The 21,058-nt window shown below is 43.4% G+C and overlaps 1 protein-coding gene across 1 annotated transcript; it reads left to right on the top strand.

Annotated features, from left to right (window-relative positions):
- The first annotated feature begins 4,904 nt into the window (after positions 1-4,904).
- On the top strand, positions 4,905-7,042 carry C10orf120 (chromosome 10 open reading frame 120). Its single transcript, NM_001010912.4, has 3 exons — positions 4,905-5,136; positions 5,339-5,414; positions 6,263-7,042. Exons 1-3 carry the CDS (start codon positions 4,961-4,963, stop codon positions 7,016-7,018), a joined length of 1,008 nt encoding a protein of 335 aa, NP_001010912.1. The 5' UTR covers positions 4,905-4,960; the 3' UTR covers positions 7,019-7,042.
- Positions 7,043-21,058: the final 14,016 nt, after the last annotated feature.

Genomic DNA, 21,058 nt, shown 5'->3' with positions numbered 1-21,058 from the left:
GAAGGAGACTGAGGAAACTAGGCATCAAAGGACCCTTTCATGCCAAGAAGGGTGAAGGCTCAGCCTGGAAACCGGGACGTCTGAGGCACTTTGCTGTGGAACCCATAGAATTCTGTCCACAGGTGCTCTGCACAGGCTGTCCATTGTCTGATCCTTCACAGGCAGCAGATGAGAACATTGCCCGGGCCAGATTCCTTTCACACTTTACCACGCCTGCCATTCACCCGGGAACTGGCTGAGATGCAGATTGTGACTCAGTAGTTCTGTATGGGGCCTGACAGTCTGCATGTCTTGGGTGATGCTGCTGCTGCCACCGCTGGCCCAGGGACATGCTTTGAGGATCACCTCTTATTGAGTGACCTACACAGAGAGTCACAACTTTGCTTCTCTTGGGAACTTGTTAGAGGTGCAGGTCCTGGCCCAGACCTGCAGAATCAGACTCCGCATTTCCACAAGACCTCCAGGAGATTCACACGCACATTAATGTTTGAGAAGCACTGACCTAGAGGACACTTCCCAGAATGTGGTGTGCCCTGAGCTGGTGGTTTTGTAGAGGAGACTACGATTTTAAAGAGCACAGCTCCTTATACAAGGTGTGGATCTCATGCAATGTTAAGAAGGAGCACCATTTCCACGCTTCAAGGCGGCTACCTGCATAGACTCAGCCTTGGAGAGAGGGAGATGGCCGATGGGTCTTTGGAGAGCCAGCCTCTGCAAGATCCACCAGAGGGAGCCAGAGCCCAGGGATGGCTGCAGGGGCAGCTGCCAGAGGGTGAGGAGTCCCCAGGGTTTTGTGTATGACTTATTCACACACCGTCACACTTTTTGATAGCCATTATAAAAATAAGTTGCAAAATATGCTTAAAAGAAAATAAGGTGGAAAAATAAAGTTAATAAAATGAGGATAAGACGTTAACAAACTTCAAAAGAAAAAAATATCAAAGGTTTTAGAGAGTGACATAGGAGAATATCACTGTGTGAATGTGTGTATGTGTCTCTGGGTGTGTGTATGTGTATGTGTGTGTGTTTATGTGTCTCTGTGTGTATGTGTATGTATGTGTATATGTGTGTGTATATGTGTCTGTGTGTGTGTTTGTGTGTGTGTGTATATGTGTGTATATGTATGTGTATGTGTATGTATGCATTTGTGTATGTGTGTGTGTATCTCTCTGTGTGTATGTGTCTGTGTGTATGTATTTGCATGTGTGTATGTGTATCTATGTGTGTGTATGTGTATGTGTATATGTGTGTGTATAATATGTGAGAGTATCATGAGGTAGGAGATGATTTTTTAAACAAGACATGAAAGCACTAACCATAAAGGGAAAGGCTGATAAATTAGAGTGCAGCTAGTATAAAAATAAGGACTTCCATTCATCAAAAGACACCTTAAAGACAGTAAAAAGGTGAATTGCAGAGTAGGAGTGGGTATATGCAACACATTTAACTGACAAAGGGCCTATATCAAGAACATATAAAGAAATCTAACATATCAATAAGAAAACAAAAACTAGAAAATAGTGAGCAAAAGACTTGAATAGACATTTCACAAAGAATAATCTCAATGGCCAATAGAAAAAGTGTTCAATTTTATTTCTAACCAGAAAAATGTAAATGAAAACCATCCAAGATACCATAACCAATCTACCTGTATCGGCAAGATGAGTATCCACAGGGATTCTCATACACTACTGGTGGGAATGTGAATTGGTAGAGAAAAGCATGCACGTAATCCCAAGGAGACATGTAGAAGAATGCTCCCCAAATCGGAAACCACCCAACTGTAAGCAACAGATGACTGATAAATAAATCATAGCATCATCATGCTAAACAACAATAAAAAGGAATGTACAAGCATATCAGTAAGAGAATTGTAACTTTTTTTTCATAAGAAGGGGCACAAAGCAGACACAAAGGAACACATACTATGTGAATCTGTTAATATAAAGTTCAATAATGGGTAAAATTATGTATAGAAACGAAAAGCCTGATATTTTAAAACTATAATACATTTAAACAAATTATTAAAAACCTATGAACTATAAGTAGGTGTCATGGTTAATTTTATATGCCAACTCGATTAGGCCATGGGGCCCAGGTATTTGGTATGATGTATTATTCTGAATGTTTCTGGGACAGTGTTTTGGGATGAGATTAACATTTAAATCGGTGGAGTTTGAGCAAAGCAAATTGCCTTGCATTGTGTGGATGAGCCTCACAAAGGCCTGAATAGAACAAAAGACTGACTTTTCCTGAGCAAGAAGCAATTCTGCCATCAGATGGCCTTTGGACTTGAACTGAAACACTGACTTCTTCCTGGGCCTCTAGCCTGCCAGCCTACCCTGCAGATTTTGCACTTGCTAGCCTCTGTAATCATGTAAGCTAATTCCCTAAAATAAATAATAGATAATAAATCTCTCTCTCATATGATTAGTATATATGTATATGTGTATATATATTTATATATATGTGTGTATGTGTGTGTGTACAAATATTAATTATAAATATTAAGAATAAATGAAATATGTATAAAAGATAAAGTCTACAAGACAAAGAAATAAAGAAAACATGAAGTAAAAGATGAAAGACAGATGTGAAAGGCAGTTCAAGAGAATTTGAAAATGGACCAGGAGATGAGATTGATGTCTATGAATACAAGTCAGGACAAAACCAGGTAAAAGTCAAGAATAAAACCTAATGTAAAAACAATTGAGGGGAAATATCTGTAAAAGAAAACAAAAGCAAAAAGCCTGGGAATGACAATGAAAGAGAAGGAGAGAAGGAAGTGAGCTAAAAGCAGAAGTTTGTGGAACCAGGTGTGAGAAAAGCAGACTTTCCCACAGTATAGAGCCTCATGGCTGTGGTGACACCCCGCCCAGGTGTATCCTTTCTCACCCTCGTTTTCTCTGAAGTCTGGAGGAGCTGGACCCTGACAATGACACCTTTACCTGTCTGTACCTGCTGTGGCAGGGCAATAACTTTTCCATCTAAATATCTGGAGTTGACCAGGCTGCTGATGCACCATCAGCCCTGGAATATCCCCACAAGCCCATAGCCTGAAGTAACCTTAGTATCACTGTGTATTTCCTTTTGGTCTTTTTTTCCTCTTGCATATTTGTATTTTTACAGCATCCAAATTATACCCTATATAAGTTTTATATTCTGCCTATTTTTGCATCCCATTATGTCATATTACAGAAAATTTTTTAGACTCAATTTTTAATGGGTACACGATATTCCATCAATTGGAGTCCAACAATCCCATCGATTGTTCCACAAATATTTGTTGAATGCATATGATGTGCCAGGTGTTGTATGGCTTGCTCAAGGTCACTTAATTAGCAGTTGAGTGTGGGACACATGGGAAAGTCAATGAATGCACTGCAAAAGGCATTTTCTTCACTGCTCAGAGGCCCTCTGCTGATGTCCAGGCTCACAGATGGTCCAGGTAACTGAATTTGCCTGTGTCAACTGGAAAAGTACCTCTGTATTTTAGTGCCTACATGGGTCTGAACACTGGCCCAACTCTTAATATCCACCATGGATTTCTGGTAAGGGAAAGGAGTTTTAGGACCTGTGTTTGTCAGCGATAACATGGCAATCTTTTTCCATGAGCTGCTTCCTTACTTTTTAAATTTATGTTTTCAAATACCTAATACATTCATGTGGTTCTACATTCAAGACAATATCTTCATGTATACCATGAAATGGCTCATTCCCACCACTTCTTCATCTGCTGAATACCTACTGTCTTACTAGTTTTTTGTGTATTATTCTGGTTTCTTTATGCAAATACAAATATATACATGCTTATTTTTTCCCTCCCCAACACAAAAGAGTATTCTAGAATTTATATATGTTTTCATCTTGCTTTTTGCATTTGATTATGTTTCTTGGAGTTATTTCCATATAAGTAAAGGTCTTCCTTCCTTGATCTTTTTGACTCCTATAGTCCTATACTCCATTGTATGGCTAACTAGAATTCTCTGACCAATTACTGGTTAATGGGTATTTGAATTTGCCATGAGGTTTGTCACCTCAAACAAAGTCACACTGACCAACCTTGGGAGTAATTTATTTTGTACACATAACTGGGTGAAAGGGCAAATACATTTATAATTTTGATACATATTGCCAAATTACCTTCCATAGAGTTTTGGCAATATCAATTCCCACCAGTGCCATTCTTAACCACACCTTTGAACAGGGTCTCAGGACAATTGTTTACTGAGTTAGCAAACTGAGCATCTGCCCTACACCATGCCCTATGCTGACAACCACACACCAAAGAAGAATAAGATGCTGTTGGTACCTTCTTTCAATAGAGGGAGAGACAGACTTACCAAGAAATCTGACTTACCAAGCAAGTCATTATGTGAGAAAGCACCATAGCATGAGGCAGAGAGTGCTATGAGAACATGGACAAAGGGTGATTTATTCTGCAAGGAGACATTCAGAGGAAGCAACAATTAAGCTGGGTCCTGAGAGACAAGCAAGTTGCCAAGGATAAGAGAGTTATTCAACACATGAGGGGACTGTGAACAATAGCTCAGACGCTTGTTTTGAGAATGATGGATAGTGTGGCGTTGATCAAGCATGAGGAGCTAAGGCTGAAGAGACTAGTGAAAGCCAGTGAGAGAGATTTTAGTTGACTGAGTCTTCCTCTTGTGAAAACTGAGCAGTCTTGTGGGTTTTTCAGTGGCAGTGACATGGTCAGATTGCCTCCCAGCCACATTCTCTATCCATTCTCTTCGACTCCAACACACCAGGAGCCTGGTAATGTGTGTCCATTTCACCCCAGGGGATCATTCAATGTCTTAAACTCAGACCTCACAATAGCCCCCAGGTAAGCCAGTTATGATGCAAGAAATGTTTGTGACTTACCCTCGGGCCCTCATCACATTGTCTTAGAAACAAACTCCAGGTGTGAACACCTCCCGTCCTAGCTTATTGCCGGAGTATGATCAGAGAATGGAAGAATGACTGTCAGAGGATTGAAAAACAGAGGGCTAGTGACACAATGGTGCAAGAAAGGAAGAATGAAAAGCCAGTTAGAATATTTAATACCAACTCTTCCTTTCAGGATCAAGCCCCAACGTGTTGCCAAGAGGATCTGAGTTCTGCTTCACCGTTGCGGTGAGTCTGACTTGCACTTTAGTCTGTCCATGTCAGAAAGAGGCCAAGTGGAGAAGCCTACCCAGTGGCTACAGAAACCCCTGCTCATGGCGGCCTCAGCCTGGCTAGTGTAGAATAACCCTTTATGAGCCTTCCCACTCCAGGAGGGAAAAGTAGGAAGAGCCTTTCCAGAATTCTGATATTCCTGCTTCTCTTCTTGCAGGATATGGAGCAAATTCTACAGATCAGACCCACGGATTGCCCTTGGGAAATACTCCCCCTTGGAAAAAGAGATCCTAGTAAGTGTCCCGCAGTTTTCACACGGAGAGGCCCCACTGAAGCCAGCCAGTTTAGCTAGAGGGAGCCAAAGGTTCAGAAGCCACCAGTAACAGAGCTGCCTCTCAAACAGTAGACTCCCATTGGCTGAATCTGCTAGTGGCTTCCACACTTGCACAGCAAAATACTCTTTTTTTTTTTTTTTTTTTTTTTTTTTTTGAGACGGAGTCTCGCTCTGTCGCCCAGGCCGGACTGCGGACTGCAGTGGCGCAATCTCGGCTCACTGCAAGCTCCGCTTCCCGGGTTCACGCCATTCTCCTGCCTCAGCCTCCCGAGTAGCTGGGACTACAGGCGCCCGCCACCGCGCCCGGCTAATTTTTTGTATTTTTTTTTTTTTAGTAGAGACGGGGTTTCACCTTGTTAGCCAGGATGGTCTCGATCTTCTGACCTCATGATCCACCCGCCTCGGCCTCCCAAAGTGCTGGGATTACAGGCGTGAGCCACCGCGCCCGGCCCACAGCAAAATACTCTTATTGACACGTCCCACTTACAAATATGAGTAAATAACAAATGATGGAACAGTTATTTCTTCAGCTCCTACCTTGCACTGGTCACTTTCGTATATGTTGTCTTGTCGAGGCTTCACCATGACCCTGTAAAGTCAACAAAATTATTCTGAATTCATTGTAGGTCAGAGGAGAGTCAGGATTTGAACCCAAGGTTATCTGACGCCAAAGGTTCACCTGTTTTCCACTACAGAGAGGCTCAAACACTTTCCACAATGGAGGGAGAACCAGCCACTAGCAAGTTTCTGTGGGTGCCGCCTGCCCCTGTGCTCTTGAGATTTTAATAGTCCTTTCTCCATTGTCAGCGTCTAGGTGGCATTCACACCATAGCAGCAAGAAGGCTTTTGGCTTACAAGCAAGAGGAAGAATGCAGAATGCTCAAGGAACTACAGTTGCTGTCTCCGGACTACAAACAAGCAATGGAGTATAAAAAGAAACATTCCTCTCCTTGTGCTATTTGTGTACCCCTAGAAAAAATATGGACAGCAAAGGTGATTGCGCCCCTGGAGGCATTTAAAATGCCACAACGAGAGCAGGTGAACGTCAGTAAGCACATAGAGAGGATGAGGCTTGCTCGGGCTCTGGGAAATCATCAGCCTTTACCCTACATTGAAAGGTTTACACGCTCCTCATTTCTGTCTGGGGTGGGCCTGGGTCCAATGGCAAAAAATAAGGCCAGACGAAAGGAAGACAACTATGACACCCATAATTGTGATGATGCCAACCAAGATAAGAAAGAGGAGGCAGAGGGAAAAAACACAAAAAGACGAGAAATAAAAATGAATGTAGTTTTCAAGTCAAAAGAACCAAAAAAATGTTTAACATACCATGGAAATGATCGCAAATCATTCCTCCCCGCAAAGAAACCGGAACGGTCCATCGCAGGCCTAACAAACCGAAATCTTTTCTGCATATCAGAATTCCCTGGTGACTTAATGCTAATGAATCAGGATTTTATATCACGGAGAGACCACTTCAGTGATCTGGTCAAGACCTACAGCCTGGAAGAAGAGAGTATCTGGAAAGAGCGCATGCGTAAAGCAACTCCTTATCATTATTAAAGTTTTATTTGTTGCCCAGGGTAACCAGGTGTACTAGTCCTTATTATTCCCGTCAGCTGTGCCCCAGGCTCCTTGCCACCCCATCTTATATTGGGATTTTGGCTTCCCCTGCCCAATCTCCAGGAGGGCCTCAAGGTAAGACCTACCTGACGAGGCTTCCTGACCTCAGGCAACTCTTGGCTATCGCTCCCACCCTCAGCAACAGCCCAGCCTTCTCCTAACCTACTCCCATTGGGGTGTGTGTCTGTTATCTATTTCTATGAAACAAATCACCCCCAAATTTAGTGGCTTAAAACGACAATCATTAATTTTGCTTGTAATTTTGTGGGTTAGCAATTTAAGCTGGGCTCAGCTGGGTGCCTCTCCTGATCTCACCTGGGTTCCTCATGTGTCTATAGTTAACTGCAGGTAAATTAGTTGGCTCTCCTTCTGGGAACTGACAGCTATCAACTGGGTCCATGGGGGTGACTGGGCCACATTTGTCCTCCCTCACGTAGGCTAGCCCAGGCTTGTTCACAGGGTCATTATGGGGCCCAAGAGGGTAAGTGGAAGTTTGCAAGGCCTATTAAGATCAAGGCTCATAACTGGCACACTGTCACTTTTGCCACATTTCTGTTGTCCAAAGCAAGACCTGAGGCCAGCCTAGATGCAAAAGTGGGTAAATGAACTTTATCCCTTGATGAGAGGCCACACTGCAAAAGGCATGAAGACAAAGAAGTGGGAATATTTGGAACCATTAGACAGTCAATAGCAGAGTCTCTGGAACTGGGAGCAGCCTGTAGTACAACTGAAGAAAAGAACGCTATGCCCACATCTAAAAGTTGGAGGTCTATTTCATGCTCTCCACTTCCTGCCCAGGCATACAGCTTCTGCCTTGGAAGGCAGAGCCAGCCCTTTCCAGCCTTATTTCTTTGCTACCCTCATCTTCAATGCAGCCAGGCAGTCCACACCCTCCCCATCAAGTCAAGTGCAGCCACAGGGCAGGCATGGCTGTAGCATGCACAATTCCTTTGGGCATGTCAGGAGCAGGTACCAAATGTCTCTGAGGTCACTATTGCTGCAACTATCAAGGCTTTGCCTGTGCCCCAATGTGGCAGATATAGTAGACAACAACTAGGGTAGTCAGACTTTACCAAGATGGAGCTCTTGTTTCTTACAGATGCTTGGCCATCAACAAGGAGGATGGCTCAGAGAAGGGCTGACCCTTCCAGGTTTGCTTCAAAATATGAAAATGGGTTCTCATGGGAGGAAAGAATTTGAAGCCAGGATTTTTCTAGCCTCTTCCCTGTACACTGCCTCCTCTAAACGGACACACACACACATAGACACTGCCAAGGGACCTTGTTTATTGTGCAGTTCTCATGACAAGTCTTAAGTTTTCACCAATGACCCTCACACCTGCTCTGAGCCACACTCACAACCAGCCACCAACTCATAGCCATTCTGTCAGACTTTCATGGCTAGCACAGACTTCATCAAATTCAAAGCACACATAGCCTGTATAGAACCTGGACATGTCAGTCCAATCTCCTTCCCTCCTTTCCTAATAATCAAGACAGAAGACAGCTGGCAATTGTCCATGACCTCAGGGAACTGTTCCAAATTGTAGGCTTGCTCATAGGCCATTTTCTTGATGCTGAGCTATTCAGTGAAAAACTGGAGTGCCCATTAATCAGTGGGCAATAGGAGTTGGGGGACAACCAGACCCTAAGCTGCACAGAGACGTGGGCCCTCACCCTCCTAAGTATCTTATGGGTCAGACTCGAGTTCCAGGTGTAAATATGAAGTGAAGCATTTTTAGACGTCTAGAAGAAATGAGGATTTTTTTTCCCCAAAAGACAGAACTCTTGTTGCCGAAAAAGGGGGTCCTGATCCAGACACCAAGAGAGGGTCTTGAATCTCGTGTAGGAAGAAATTCAAGGTGAGTTGCAGAAAGCACAGAGAAGAGATAGCTTATTGAAAGCTACTCAGTTACAGAGTGGGGCGTCCTCAGAAAGCAAGCAGAGGAATGCATCATCTTTAAGTTTTTCTTATACAAGGGTCTTATCTATGTAAAAGCTAAGCTATGACAATGTGAGGGTGGGCTAACAGCGTGACAAAATGTATTACTTTGTTGATTTAAAGAAAGTTATTTTTGGTATTTTAGTGTGTAGGTACATCAAAGCATGTCTAGAATCATCTTAAAAGCATATATTATTATGTGATATCGGGACATCTGGACATTTCATTGTAGTAGGAGTTTCCTCAGCCAGAAACATTTCATGACCATGGGTCATGACCAGCAAGGAATGTGCCTTGCTAGTTTAAAGATGGAGTTGATTTTAAAATGGTGTCACCCTGTTTCCCTAACAATCTCACCCTGAGTCCAGCCAGCACCTTCACCATTTGAGATGCATGATGCACTTACTCACTGTCTACATCTGAAGCATAGAGGAATTCCTCCGTTAATCACACTGTGTCCTCAGCAACTCCTCACAGAGTTGGGAAGACAGTGAACTTGTCTACAGGGACCTACAACTGCCTGAGGCAAGGTCAGGTTCCTTTCTAGCTCCCTCTTGCCAGTGGATTTTCCACAATCAGCCCTTTCAGAGCCACAGCTCCCCTCCAAGCAGAGGGAATGTCATTAGCAGGAGGCTTCACCCTTTCTGATTTTTCAGGACAACTCCATTAGCCACAGCTCCAAGTTAAGAGCATTTTGAAGTATTCTATCAGCAGCTGCTGTGGCCAAGACAGTGATTCTGGGCAGTGTAGCATTGTTCCCAAATATCAGTGGATTCTGACTAAAGAATCAGCATGAATCAAAGAAATGGGTTAACTTTTCAGCTGAGGCAAAGTTAGAAATTGGAGTTGGTGGGGGGGGGAGGAAACTATTATTTCCAATGTTGATATAACCTCCTAAATATGTATAAAATAGTGAATACCAAAGCATCACCTGAAAACTCAAGCCAGTTTGAAAAAACTGAAAACGATTTATCTGGACCCTAAAAATTGCTTAGGATCAGCAATATGATGTGGTATAAAGTTCTCTAAAGGAGAAATAAGGAGATCAGTGCTCTCCCTACAGCTCTGTTCCCAACCAGCTGTGAGGCATAGGTAAGCCACCAGGCACTCTGTGACTCAACTTACCCATCAGTTAAACGAGTGCATTGAACTAAATGGTCAGCAAGGCTCAGTTCTATAATTCATTTAATTAGCTGCGTTCAGTGGAGTTGGGAGTTGACTCAATACTTGCCGACTGCTCACCACCTGCTTAGTGTGGACAGTTACAACCTAAGTATTGTGTTACAAGAAGGCCAGGTGGTGCTGGCATAGAGATATTTTCACTGACCCAAATTCTCTGAGATGCGGAAATCACCTATGAGAACAAATTCAACCCTTTGGAAAGAGAAGAGGTCAACAGAATGCCAAGATATTGCCTTACTGGCTGTTATCAATACCAAACTTCTTGATAAGTGTGATATTAATTGCCGTAAACATTAATTACCTGGAGCCATCCAGAATATGCCCACAGTTTACCATGTATGTGTATGCCATCTTTCAGGAAGTCTATATGAAAATAAATGTAGATTCGGATTTGAATTTTTGAAGGTTTTAGAAAATTCCCTGGATTAAGTACTTATTTATCTTAAGCACCACTTACCTGAGTTTCATAAATACATCCAGATGATAATATTTGATAAAGAGATAAGTGACCACAAGGCCCTATGAGACTCTTATGCTCAGTAGATTATGCTAATGGTGATGACGAATTTAGAAAGTCTTTGACATAGCACTGGACACAAAAGAGAGCTCTGGTAATCAGTTGCTTAATCTGAAATTTCTAACAATCCCTGTTCCCTGAGAACGCTGATTAACAAAGAAGGCTTGGAGAACAAGTGATCAATTAAATTTTTACCAAAAGTTTATTATTGGGTTATCCAGCAGACGAAAACAAAATATAAATAGGCTGGGCATGGTGCCTCACACCTGTAATCTCAGCACTTTGGGAGGCTGAGGCGGGTGGATCACTTGAGGCCTGGAGTTTGAGACCAGCCTGGTCAACATGGTGAAAACCCATCGCTACTAAAAATACGAAAATTATCCGGGTGTGGTGACATGCCTGTAATCCCAGCTACTTGGGAGGCTGAGACAAGAGAATCACTTGAATCCTGGAGGTGAAGCTTGCAGTGAGCCAATAGTGTGCCACTGCCCTCCAGGCTGGGCAACAGAGCGAGACCCTGTCTCAAAAAACAGAAAGATAGATATTTTGGAGGAAAAGAATCTGATAGTAGATTTTCATATAAGCTGAAAGTAGTCATTATTGAACAGGTCAGAACTTCCTTGAACTTCCTTTTACTTATAAATTGGTATTGGTTTTATTTAGAATTGCTTTTGTAAACAGACGCCATCATTTGCTCCATTCCTAGAGGCTATATAGTTTTTAATGTGGTCTCACCCCTTACTCACGAGGGCCCTGTGAAATCAGACAGGGCTCACCTATGATGATGGTGTCAGAAGTGGGTGACTAAATTGGGGTCAAACAAGCTAAAGAAGGCTGAGTGTGGTGGCTTACCCCTGTAATCCCAGAACTTTGGGGTGCTTAGGCAGGTGGATCACTTGAGGTCAGGAGTTGAAGACTAGCCCGGCCAACATGGTGAAACCCCATCTCTACAAAAGAAAAAAAAAAAAATTAGCCGGGCATGGTGGTGCATGCCTGTTATCCCAGTTACTCGGGAGGCTAAGGCAGGAGAATAGCTTGAACCAAGGAGGCAGAGGTTGCAGTGAACTGAGATTACGTCACTGCACTCCAGCCTGGGTGACAGAGCAGGACTCCATCTCAAAACAAAAACAAAAACAAACAAACAAACAAACAAAAACAAGCTGGAGAATCCTGAGGTAAAACATCTGGCTAACAATTTGGATATGACCAGACATTTACCTCCATTTCCTGAAGAGACACTGCACTCGTTCTATAATTCATCCCTAAACCAAATCCATTGCCCTCTTCAGGGATCCCATAGCAACTTGACTCTGCTTCTTCCCTCTCACTGACTGCCTTCCTCCTTCCACATGCCATCTGTCTCATGTATAACCCACTGGATGACAAGCCATTTCTGTAGCCAGTGCATAAGCCCAATTTAATCATTCTAGTATCCCTAGTACCTAACATACTGTATGTACTTCAATAAATGATTTTAAAATCATAATGAGGCAGCATTTATATTCCTTAAGAGCTGGCACCCAAAATTATCTTAAGGTAAATTGTTTTTCTTGGGGAAAAATACCTTACAGTTTATTTGGGGCTGGAAGGGGATACTTGAGAAGCCTCCTAACAATGAAAGAATGGTTAGCCTCTTTGCATGAGGAAATGAGAGGAATTTTGTTTTTCTCTTAAAAAGAAAAGGAAGAAGGGAGGAAGAAGAGACAGCCACTAGTGAGATGTACCCCACTGCATGGGGATAAACAGCCATGTAAAACCCCACGTATCAAGGAGGCTGTGGGCTTTTGAGACGAGAAGTACCTAACATGTTGTTGTAAGTTGTTTGCTATGCAGAGCTCCAGAGATTACTCCCTGAGACCCTCACCATCAGAAAAGCCCATTAAATTCATGAGTACGTTGTATGAATGAGCTTCGGGGACTGGCGTTTGTGAATTGACGACAGGGCTGAGTTTCATATCAGGCAGAGAGTTCAGAAGAGAGACAGCATGTGTGGAAATGGTGTCCTACAGCCTGCTGGCAGTTTGCAGAAATCCCAAAGAAGGCTTTGAACTTCAACCAGAGGGAAATTGAGAAGTGGAGCCTGCCTCCTCCAGAGCCTAAGAAGCCAGTGAGCTCAAGCTAGATTTGGGGTTACAGACTGAATGAATGAATGAATAAGTGAATGAAAAATATAGGTGCTTAGAAATGCAGGCAGCTTGAATATTGAGTTAGCCATACATTATCTCAGTCACCCAGCTATTTGCTCTAGTCAGCTGACCATGAACACAGAACAAGACCGCCATTTGTTACCATATTATACCATTTTCAGAGATGGTTCCCTTTGTAGAAGAATTGGCCCCAAGTCCACCTTGCTCTGGTCAGGATGGGTTTCTCACCTGGCTCTTGGAGAGCAGCCCCAGTGGCATTGGAATGAGCTACTGTTTGCCCTGCACATGACCACTTTACACTGAGAATGCACTGCACTGGGTTAAGAGACTAGAAGGCTTTAAACTTAAACTTGACCACTTTGGAGTTGATAGAATAGTAATCAAAGTAGTTAGAAAATAAAGTTAATATGAATGAAGTGCCTTCTGCTCTGGGGGATGGGAACATCTAAATTAAAAGGGTATGAGTGAGTCAGGGTGGGGCACAGTGGTCATGTCTATCTGTAATGCTGTCACCAAAACCTTGACAATGTGAGAGATAAAAGGGAGCACTAAGGGCTGCCCATAGACAAGGGGATTAGATGCCTTGGACTGTAAGGAGAAATAGATTAAGCAAAGGAGAACCTCTTGAGTTCCCCAAATCCAGAGCTGCATCAAAAAGGAAGAAGAATGATTTCTTCTGATGAATTTATGAGGAACACTCTACATACTACACACAAGATATTTTATTGGAAAGGAGATCATGAAGAAGTTGAGTGCCTATTTTTCCTCTTTTGTCTCTTTCCTGGATTTTTAGTAAGTGTTTCTTTTTTTAATGCTATGTCAGTTTTAATGTGACTATAGTGGAATCAATTGGCATTCATTATGTCTCATACAATTTTGTCAACCAGTAATAATTGAATGGATGCGTTGGATTCCTGTTTGATCATGCAGTGATGCTACCCCCGACCTTCAAATAAAAGTCAAAAAAATGGTAGGTGGTTTTTATTTAATTTAAATGCCAAGTTGTAGCTTTGTTGGCAAATGGAGATTTTGTCTGTTCACTGCCCATTTATGTTTTGGAAATTACTGGGAGCCAGTGAACAGTAATTGCATTAAACATTCACAGGGGGTTGTAATTAATCCTTATGCTCTTATTACCAAAATGTCTGGGGAGTGACAAGAAGCAGGATGCCTAGAGGATCTTATGTAATTTGGTAGAAAGAAAATTTCATAAGAGAAGAGGAAAGGAGGAAGCAGAAAAGCATCGGTGATCTTTGGAACATTTCCCTTCCTGGATGAGGTTACCCTCTAATCCCTTCTGACCCCAGGCCCAAAGATCCCAAATATGAAGTTATCTTTGAAGATGGGAGGGAGTCTTTGAGTTTTCTGTAAACTTCTGCTTTTCTCAGATCACTACGCTGGTCAAAAACCTTTCATGGTTTCCTATAATGCTTAGCCATGCATAAACATCTCTGCCTCAATGTCAAAGCTACCTGCAATCCATCCAGCAGGTGTCCTGTCAACATCTGCCATGAGCTCAGATGTTGGAGGGGTTATATGAACCCTGGCTGTATCATCTAGGACATCTATCTCAACATCTCTGAGCTTCGAGTTCCTCTCCCACAAATGGAATCAGAAGAGTAGCTGCCTAATGGGGCTCCTGGATATGTTAAATGTGAGGTATTAGACAGTAATTCTCAACTAGGGGGAATTTTGTCCCTCAGGAGGTATTTGTTAATGTCTGGAGATATTTTTGGTTGTCACAACTGGCATCTAGCGGAGGGTAGAGATGCTACTAAACATCCTGCAATGCACAGGACAGCCCTGCGACAAAGAACGACCTGACCAAAATGCCAATATCGCTGAGGTTAAGAAAACCTGATTCAGAACGAGGCCCAGAACATGATAATAGCTCAATATTAGCATTGATATAGATAGATAGCTGAATATCTATATATCTATATATGGGTGTGGGAATATATATACACCCTTGTTAAGGGTAGAGTCCAGACTATATATATACTTATATATGGGTATATACACACCCATGTCTACCTCTATATGGATATATATATAGAGAGAGAGAGCCTGGACTCTACCATCAACAAGCTTATAAATAGTTGAAGAATGAGACAAATACTCATAAATAATTAAAATAGGAGCCCCACCTAACCAACGTTATCTCCCTCTGTGCCGTAAATCTCCAGTCTCAGCAAACAAGCCTTCAGCGTGTTCTGAAATAGAGTGCTGAGACGTCACCAAGAGCCTGGACGTGGCAGCAGCAGACATGGGTGGGAATAGCTGCTTCAATATCAGGTGAGCTGTGGGATCTCAGCCAGGTTTCTAGGCAGTGCTCAGCTTCATGTTCCCCATCTGTGAGTAGAGGCAATTATAGTGTCTACATCATAGGTAGTTGGAGGATTAAATGAGATAATTCATGGGAAAGAATAAGAACAGCTAATTGAGCATGAGGCTTAGTGAGTACTTCATAGTTACTTCATGTTAGCTAAGAGTTTATAATATCTGAATCTCTATTATTATCTTTGGCTTCAAGCTGCCTCACTTCCTGCCTGTACCGCAAGCTCAAGCCAAGGCTACAGCCAGACAGCCATTTCTCTCCATCCAAACTACCACCATCTTTCACCTGGACTAATGCAGGAGGCTCTTCAAAAGGACCCTCTTATAACTCACAATCCACCTAGCAGCCAGAGTGATATTTTTAAACACATTATGTTACTTCCTTGTTTAAAACTGCTATGTGTTAAATTGTGTCTCCCTCCCTGCAAAAGATATGTTGAAGTTCTAATCCCAGTACCTCAGAATGTGACCTTATTTGGAAATAGGGTTTCTACAGAGGTAGTTAAATTAAAACAAAGTTGGGAGGATGGAACCTAATCCAATATAACTGGTGTGCTTATAACAAGGGGGAATTTGGGCACAGACACTTGCGGGGGAAAAGGATGTGAAGAAACATGGGGATGAGATGGCCATCTACAAGTCAAGGAACACCAGAGGCTACCAGAAGGTGGGAGAACAGCCTGAGACACATTCTTTTCTAGCTCCGTCAGAGGAAGTGTGGCCCTGTTGACAGCTTGCTGTTGGACTTCTAGCCTCTGGAACTGTGAGAGAAGTTTCTGTTGTTCTAAACCATCCAGCTGGTGGTGCTCTGTTACAGCAGGAAATGAATGTAAAACCCTTCCATGCTTCCTCTTGCACTTAAACAGGATCCAAGATTCTAACAGTGGCCTACAAAACCTCCCCTGGTCTGTCCCCTGGTCCTTTCTCTGCTCTCACCTCTTCCTCTTCCCCCACCCTCACTCACTTGAGCAACACTGAACCTCTTTGAGCACCCAGAACAAGCCTAGTTTGCTCTTGCTAAAGATCCTCTGCGCTTGCAGGAATGCTCTTTCTGCAGATAGCTGGCTGCACATTTTGGCCGAAATGTCACCTCTCCAGAGACAGAGGTCACTGAATGCTTAATATATCTGGTCTTCGTCAGCACGACAGAACAAATGGTCTTTGCTGATCTTCCCTCACCCACAGATGATTGCCAAGGTCAACAATATGTCCCCAAAAGGCAGAATATTTGATGGGCAAAGACAGTTTCCTCATTCCTCTGCTGGATTCACTTTTCCACTGGTCATGTTCAGTTTATCGTAACTTTCCCTTTTTAATTTCTTCTCTTTAAGCACTCATTTCCTACTGGATACCTGAAGTATTCAGTAAAGATAACATAAAAACTCAAATTCAAGAGCAATATGGAAAAAAAAATGTCGGCCAGGCAGACATGACAGGTGACACTGTAATAGTTTCTGGAATGACTGCTCCTTGGGGCCCTACCAACCTCCCTCTGAAACCTGAGCCCAGTGCTGCCTGAATGGGCACCCCCACATTTGTGCTCTATGAGTCTCCCCTGCTGGTGATCAGCCATCCAACCAGAGGTGGATCCTCAACCGAATTCACACAAATCAGTCTCTCCCTGGAAATTTCCAGACAGAAATCAGAGGTGCAAGCGAATCTTTGCTGTCGTTTTGAACTATGAACAGTGATATGGCTTGAATCTGCGTCCCCTCACAAAATCTCCCGTCAAATTGCACCCCCCGATTCCCCAGCATTGGAGGTGGGGCCTGGCGGGGGGCGGTGATTGGATTATTCCCCAGCATTGGAGGTGGGGCCTGGAGGGGGGCGGTGATTGGATTATTCCCCAGCGTTGGAGGTGGGGCCTGGTGGGGGGCGGTGATTGGATTATTCCCCAGCGTTGGAGGTGGGGCCTGGTGGGGGGCAGTGATTGGATTATTCCCCAGCGTTGGAGGTGGGGCCTGGAGGGGGGCGGTGATTGGATTATTCCCCAGCGTTGGAGGTGGGGCCTGGTGGGGGGCGGTGATTGGATTATGGAGGAGGGTTTCTCATGAATGGTTTGGCACCATACCCTCGGTGCTGTTTTCGTGACAGTGAGCGAGTCCTCTTGAGATCTGGTCATTTGAAAGTGTGTGACACCCCCCACCCCCTGCCTCTCTCTTGCTCCAGCTTTGGCCCTGTGAAGTGTCTGCTCCCCCTTTGCCTTCTGCCATGATTGGAAGCTTCCTGAGCCCTCTCTGGAAGCTGAGCAGATCCCAGCGCCATGCTTCCTGTACAGCCTGTGAAACTGTGAGCCAACTAAACCTCTTTTCTTTGTAAGTTACCCAGTCTCAGGTATTTCTTCATAGCAACGTGAGAATGGACTAACACAAACAGACACGCTTGGGAGCTGAGCTGTAAGGCAGCTGTCCTCTACAATGTGCACAGAGAAGAGGATGTCGCCAGGCTGGAGGGGAGGAGAATGAAACACAAGGGTCAGGTGAGATGGCATCAAAAATAGAGAGGTGAGGGTAGCTTCCCAAATTGCTTCCCTGTCTACACCGCCCCTTCAGTTCTGAGACTTACTCTAGAATCCTTCAGTAAATTTCCTCATTTTTTGCTCAATCTACCTAAAGTGTATTTCTGTTACTTGTAACAAAAAGGACATTCACTAAGGTAATAGCAAGTGATTCTTCTCAGCATTCAGTCAACCTGGAAGAAGCAGGTAAATGGAGGTAGATAAATAGATATATTAATATATTGGTTTATACAGAAATATAGATACAGGAACAAATATTGGTTGTGATTCTTGCTGGTGTCATTATCCTGTTTTGGAACAGCATGATAAGAAGTACTGAATCAGGCTGGGCATGGTGACTCATGCCTGTAATCCCAGCACTTTGGGAGGCCGAGGCAGGCAGATCACCTGAGGTTAGAAGTTCAAGATCAGCCTGGCCAACATGATGAAACCCTTTCTCCACTAAAAATACAAAAATTAGCCAGATGTGGTGGTGGGTGCCTGTAATCCCAGCAACTCAGGAGGCTGAGGCAGGAGAATCACTTGAATCCAGGAGACAAAGTTTGCAGTGAGCTGAGATTGTGCCACTGCACTCTAGCCTGGGCAACAGAGTGAGACTCCATCTCAAAAAAAAAAAAACAAAACAAAACGGAAGTACTGAATCAGATTGGCCAGCCAATCAGTCGGGTCCCTGACTGCTACAGTTTGGATGTGTATTCCCTCTAAATCTCACAATGAAATGTAATCCCCAGTGTTGAAGGTGGAGCCTGCTGGGAGGTGATTGGATCATGGGGGTGGATTTCTCATGAATGCTTTATCACGATCTCCTTGGTGCTGTCTTTACAATAGTGAGTGAGTTTTCACAAGATGTGGTTGTTTAAGTGTGTGGCACCTCCTCCCCAACTCTCTCTCTCTTGCTCCTGCTTTGCCATGTAAAGTGCCTGTTCCCTCTTTGCCTTCTGCCATGATTGGAAGCCTCCTGAGGCCTCCCCAGAAGCAGATGCTGCTATGCGTCCTGTATAGCCTGCAGAACCATGAGCCAATTAAACCTCTTTTCTTATAAATTACCCAGTCTCAGGTATTTCTTTATAAGAATGCAAGAATGGCCCAACCCACTAACCCAGCTAGATTATGGTATAGTAATAGCCATTAAGTCAGTTCACTAAAACACTGAACTTTCATCTCGTTAGGAGAGGATGTCTTCCCAGAAGGCCACAGATATTTTTCAGTAGAAAATGGTTCCAGGAGCCTTCAAAGATGTCAAGTTAACCCAACAGCAATTGGAGAAGGGCACCAGCCTGTAAGTGAGGAGTAAAAAGGTTAGATCCCACCTCAAACACCCAAGATAGCATTTGAAGTCAACTTTCCACTCAAAGCAAAGAGCATTTAACTGATTCTCATCCATAAATATTATCGAAAGTTTCATTTTATACATAGCAGGAACTTAAGCATCATTTGTAGGCCAACTACTATCACGAGCAAGACAGAACTACTGGTTTTATGGAGAGTTGACTATACATATGGTCATGCACATTTGAACTATGATTGAAGAGGTTTCTATTCCTTAATCTCTACATTTCACAGAAAAACCTTAGCTGGGTATATTCATAGAGATACCAACGTCTGTTTAAAATGTTATGTGACAGCTGAAAACAACATAGGTAACTGGAGTGTGATGATCACACAAACAAGGTGGGCTTTTTGTTTTACTCCATGCAGAGGTTTTTAAGGGACCCAGTTCCATATGTAGTCTAATGTGTTTTTGACCAGTGGGAGATAGTAGAACTTTAACACCATCATCATAGCATACTGCATCACCACATTGGCAGAATGGTGATCAGAAAGCCGGCACCTTCTCAATTGTGTGTCCCTACAGGTCTTTTCCCAGTACAGGGGAGAGAAATAGCAAATAGGCTGTTCTCCTGCCTCAAGAGAGACCTCAGACAAACAAGAATCCATCTTATTTTAAAGACAGGTCAGAAGAGGCTGCACGATCATGCTCAGTGATGCCCAGGTCCCCAAAGTGTGATAGGAAGATTGTCAAATAATAAACCAAATCCCAACGTAGCTTTAAATAGATTGATATGGTTTGGCTGTGTCTCCACCCAAATCTCATCTTGAATTGTAGCTCCCATAACTCCCATGTGTTGTAGGAGGGACCTAGTGGGAGGTAATTGAATCATGAGGGTGGGTCTTTCCCATGCTGTTCTCATGATAGCAAATGAGTCTCATGAGACCTGATGGCTTATAAATGGGAGTTTCCCTGCACAAGCTCTCTTTTTGCCTGCCACCATCCATGTACAATGTGACTTGCTCCTCCTTGCCTTCTGCCATGATTGTGGCTGCTCCCCAGCCATGTGGAACTGTAAGTCCATTAAACTTCTTTTTTTGTAAATTACCCAGTCTCATGTATGTCTTTATGAGCAGTGTAGAAATGGACTAATACAAAGACTTTATTCAAAATGCTTATAGCAGTACTGAGAATGCTCCAACCAGAGGATTGGCAAGGATCTCAGAGGTCAGAGAGAAAGGAATTTGGTTTCTAGGGAGGATGACAGAAGCTAGAAGGACTGAGGGTGGGAGATGGGATGAGCAGGTAGTGTGACAGGTGACCAGGAATTTGTGTCTCCTGGTCAGCTCATTTCCAGAAGGGTCTTTGGGAGGATTATTCTGCTTTGCAGTGCTTGTTTATCTTGAGGGATGAATCAAAGGTGGGGAAGCTGTGGTGGGAGACCAGCTTAACTAAAGTTTGGTTAGGTCAATTTGGCAAGCATTTCATTTCAATTGATAAGGAAGGAAAATAGTTCAGCTAATCATTGAAGAGAAAATGAGTGAGAATTTGGGGTGTCCAGGTTGCCTAAGGAAAATGTGGGATCATATGAGTCTTATCTAAGTCATACAGGTGAGGGTGGTCTTTCTAGTAAGCCATTCTCCAGAACAAAAATGGTGGAGAACTTTCCTTAACCTTGTTGTTTTCCATTATCACAGATAAGGAGGATTAGTCTCAGATAAGTTTAAATTGTCACGATAATTGTACCTATCACAGTGGGTGATCTAGGATCAATTGTGTTCTTATTTGTAAAGCACTTAGCCCATAATTGAGCCCATAATTTCTGCCTTTTAAGCACTAGGTGGATAAACACTTTGGAAGTCCCCTATATCCTGAGAAAAACTCTCCTCCCTCCAACCAGCACCCTCCATGCTGCAGTTCTTCGCTCTTCCTTCAATGCTCTCATCTCTGACACTGAGGATGGAGCCGTTCCTCAGCTCTCCAGACTTCAGGGGTTTACAGGAGTCTCCTCTCCTGGGAACAGGCTCTGGAGGAGGTGGCCACTTTCTCTGCCCAGGAAGCTGCCCAG

The sequence above is a fragment of the Homo sapiens genome, chromosome 10 (assembly GCF_000001405.40).
Source record: "Homo sapiens chromosome 10, GRCh38.p14 Primary Assembly".
Lineage (NCBI taxonomy): Eukaryota > Metazoa > Chordata > Mammalia > Primates > Hominidae > Homo > Homo sapiens.
Note: the sequence above shows the minus strand (reverse complement) of the source record. Positions and strands in the feature narration are given on the sequence as shown.

What these genes read in the sequence shown, in the direction of transcription:
- C10orf120 (NM_001010912.4), top strand. Translation starts at nt 4,961, where the DNA reads ATGATCAGAGAATGGAAGAATGACTGTCAGAGGATTGAAAAACAGAGG. An exon ending in AGTTCTGCTTCACCGTTGCG is followed by an intron (nt 5,137 to 5,338) that starts GTGAGTCTGACT and finishes CTCTTCTTGCAG; the next exon opens with GATATGGAGCAAATTCTACA. An exon ending in CCTTGGAAAAAGAGATCCTA is followed by an intron (nt 5,415 to 6,262) that starts GTAAGTGTCCCG and finishes CTCCATTGTCAG; the next exon opens with CGTCTAGGTGGCATTCACAC.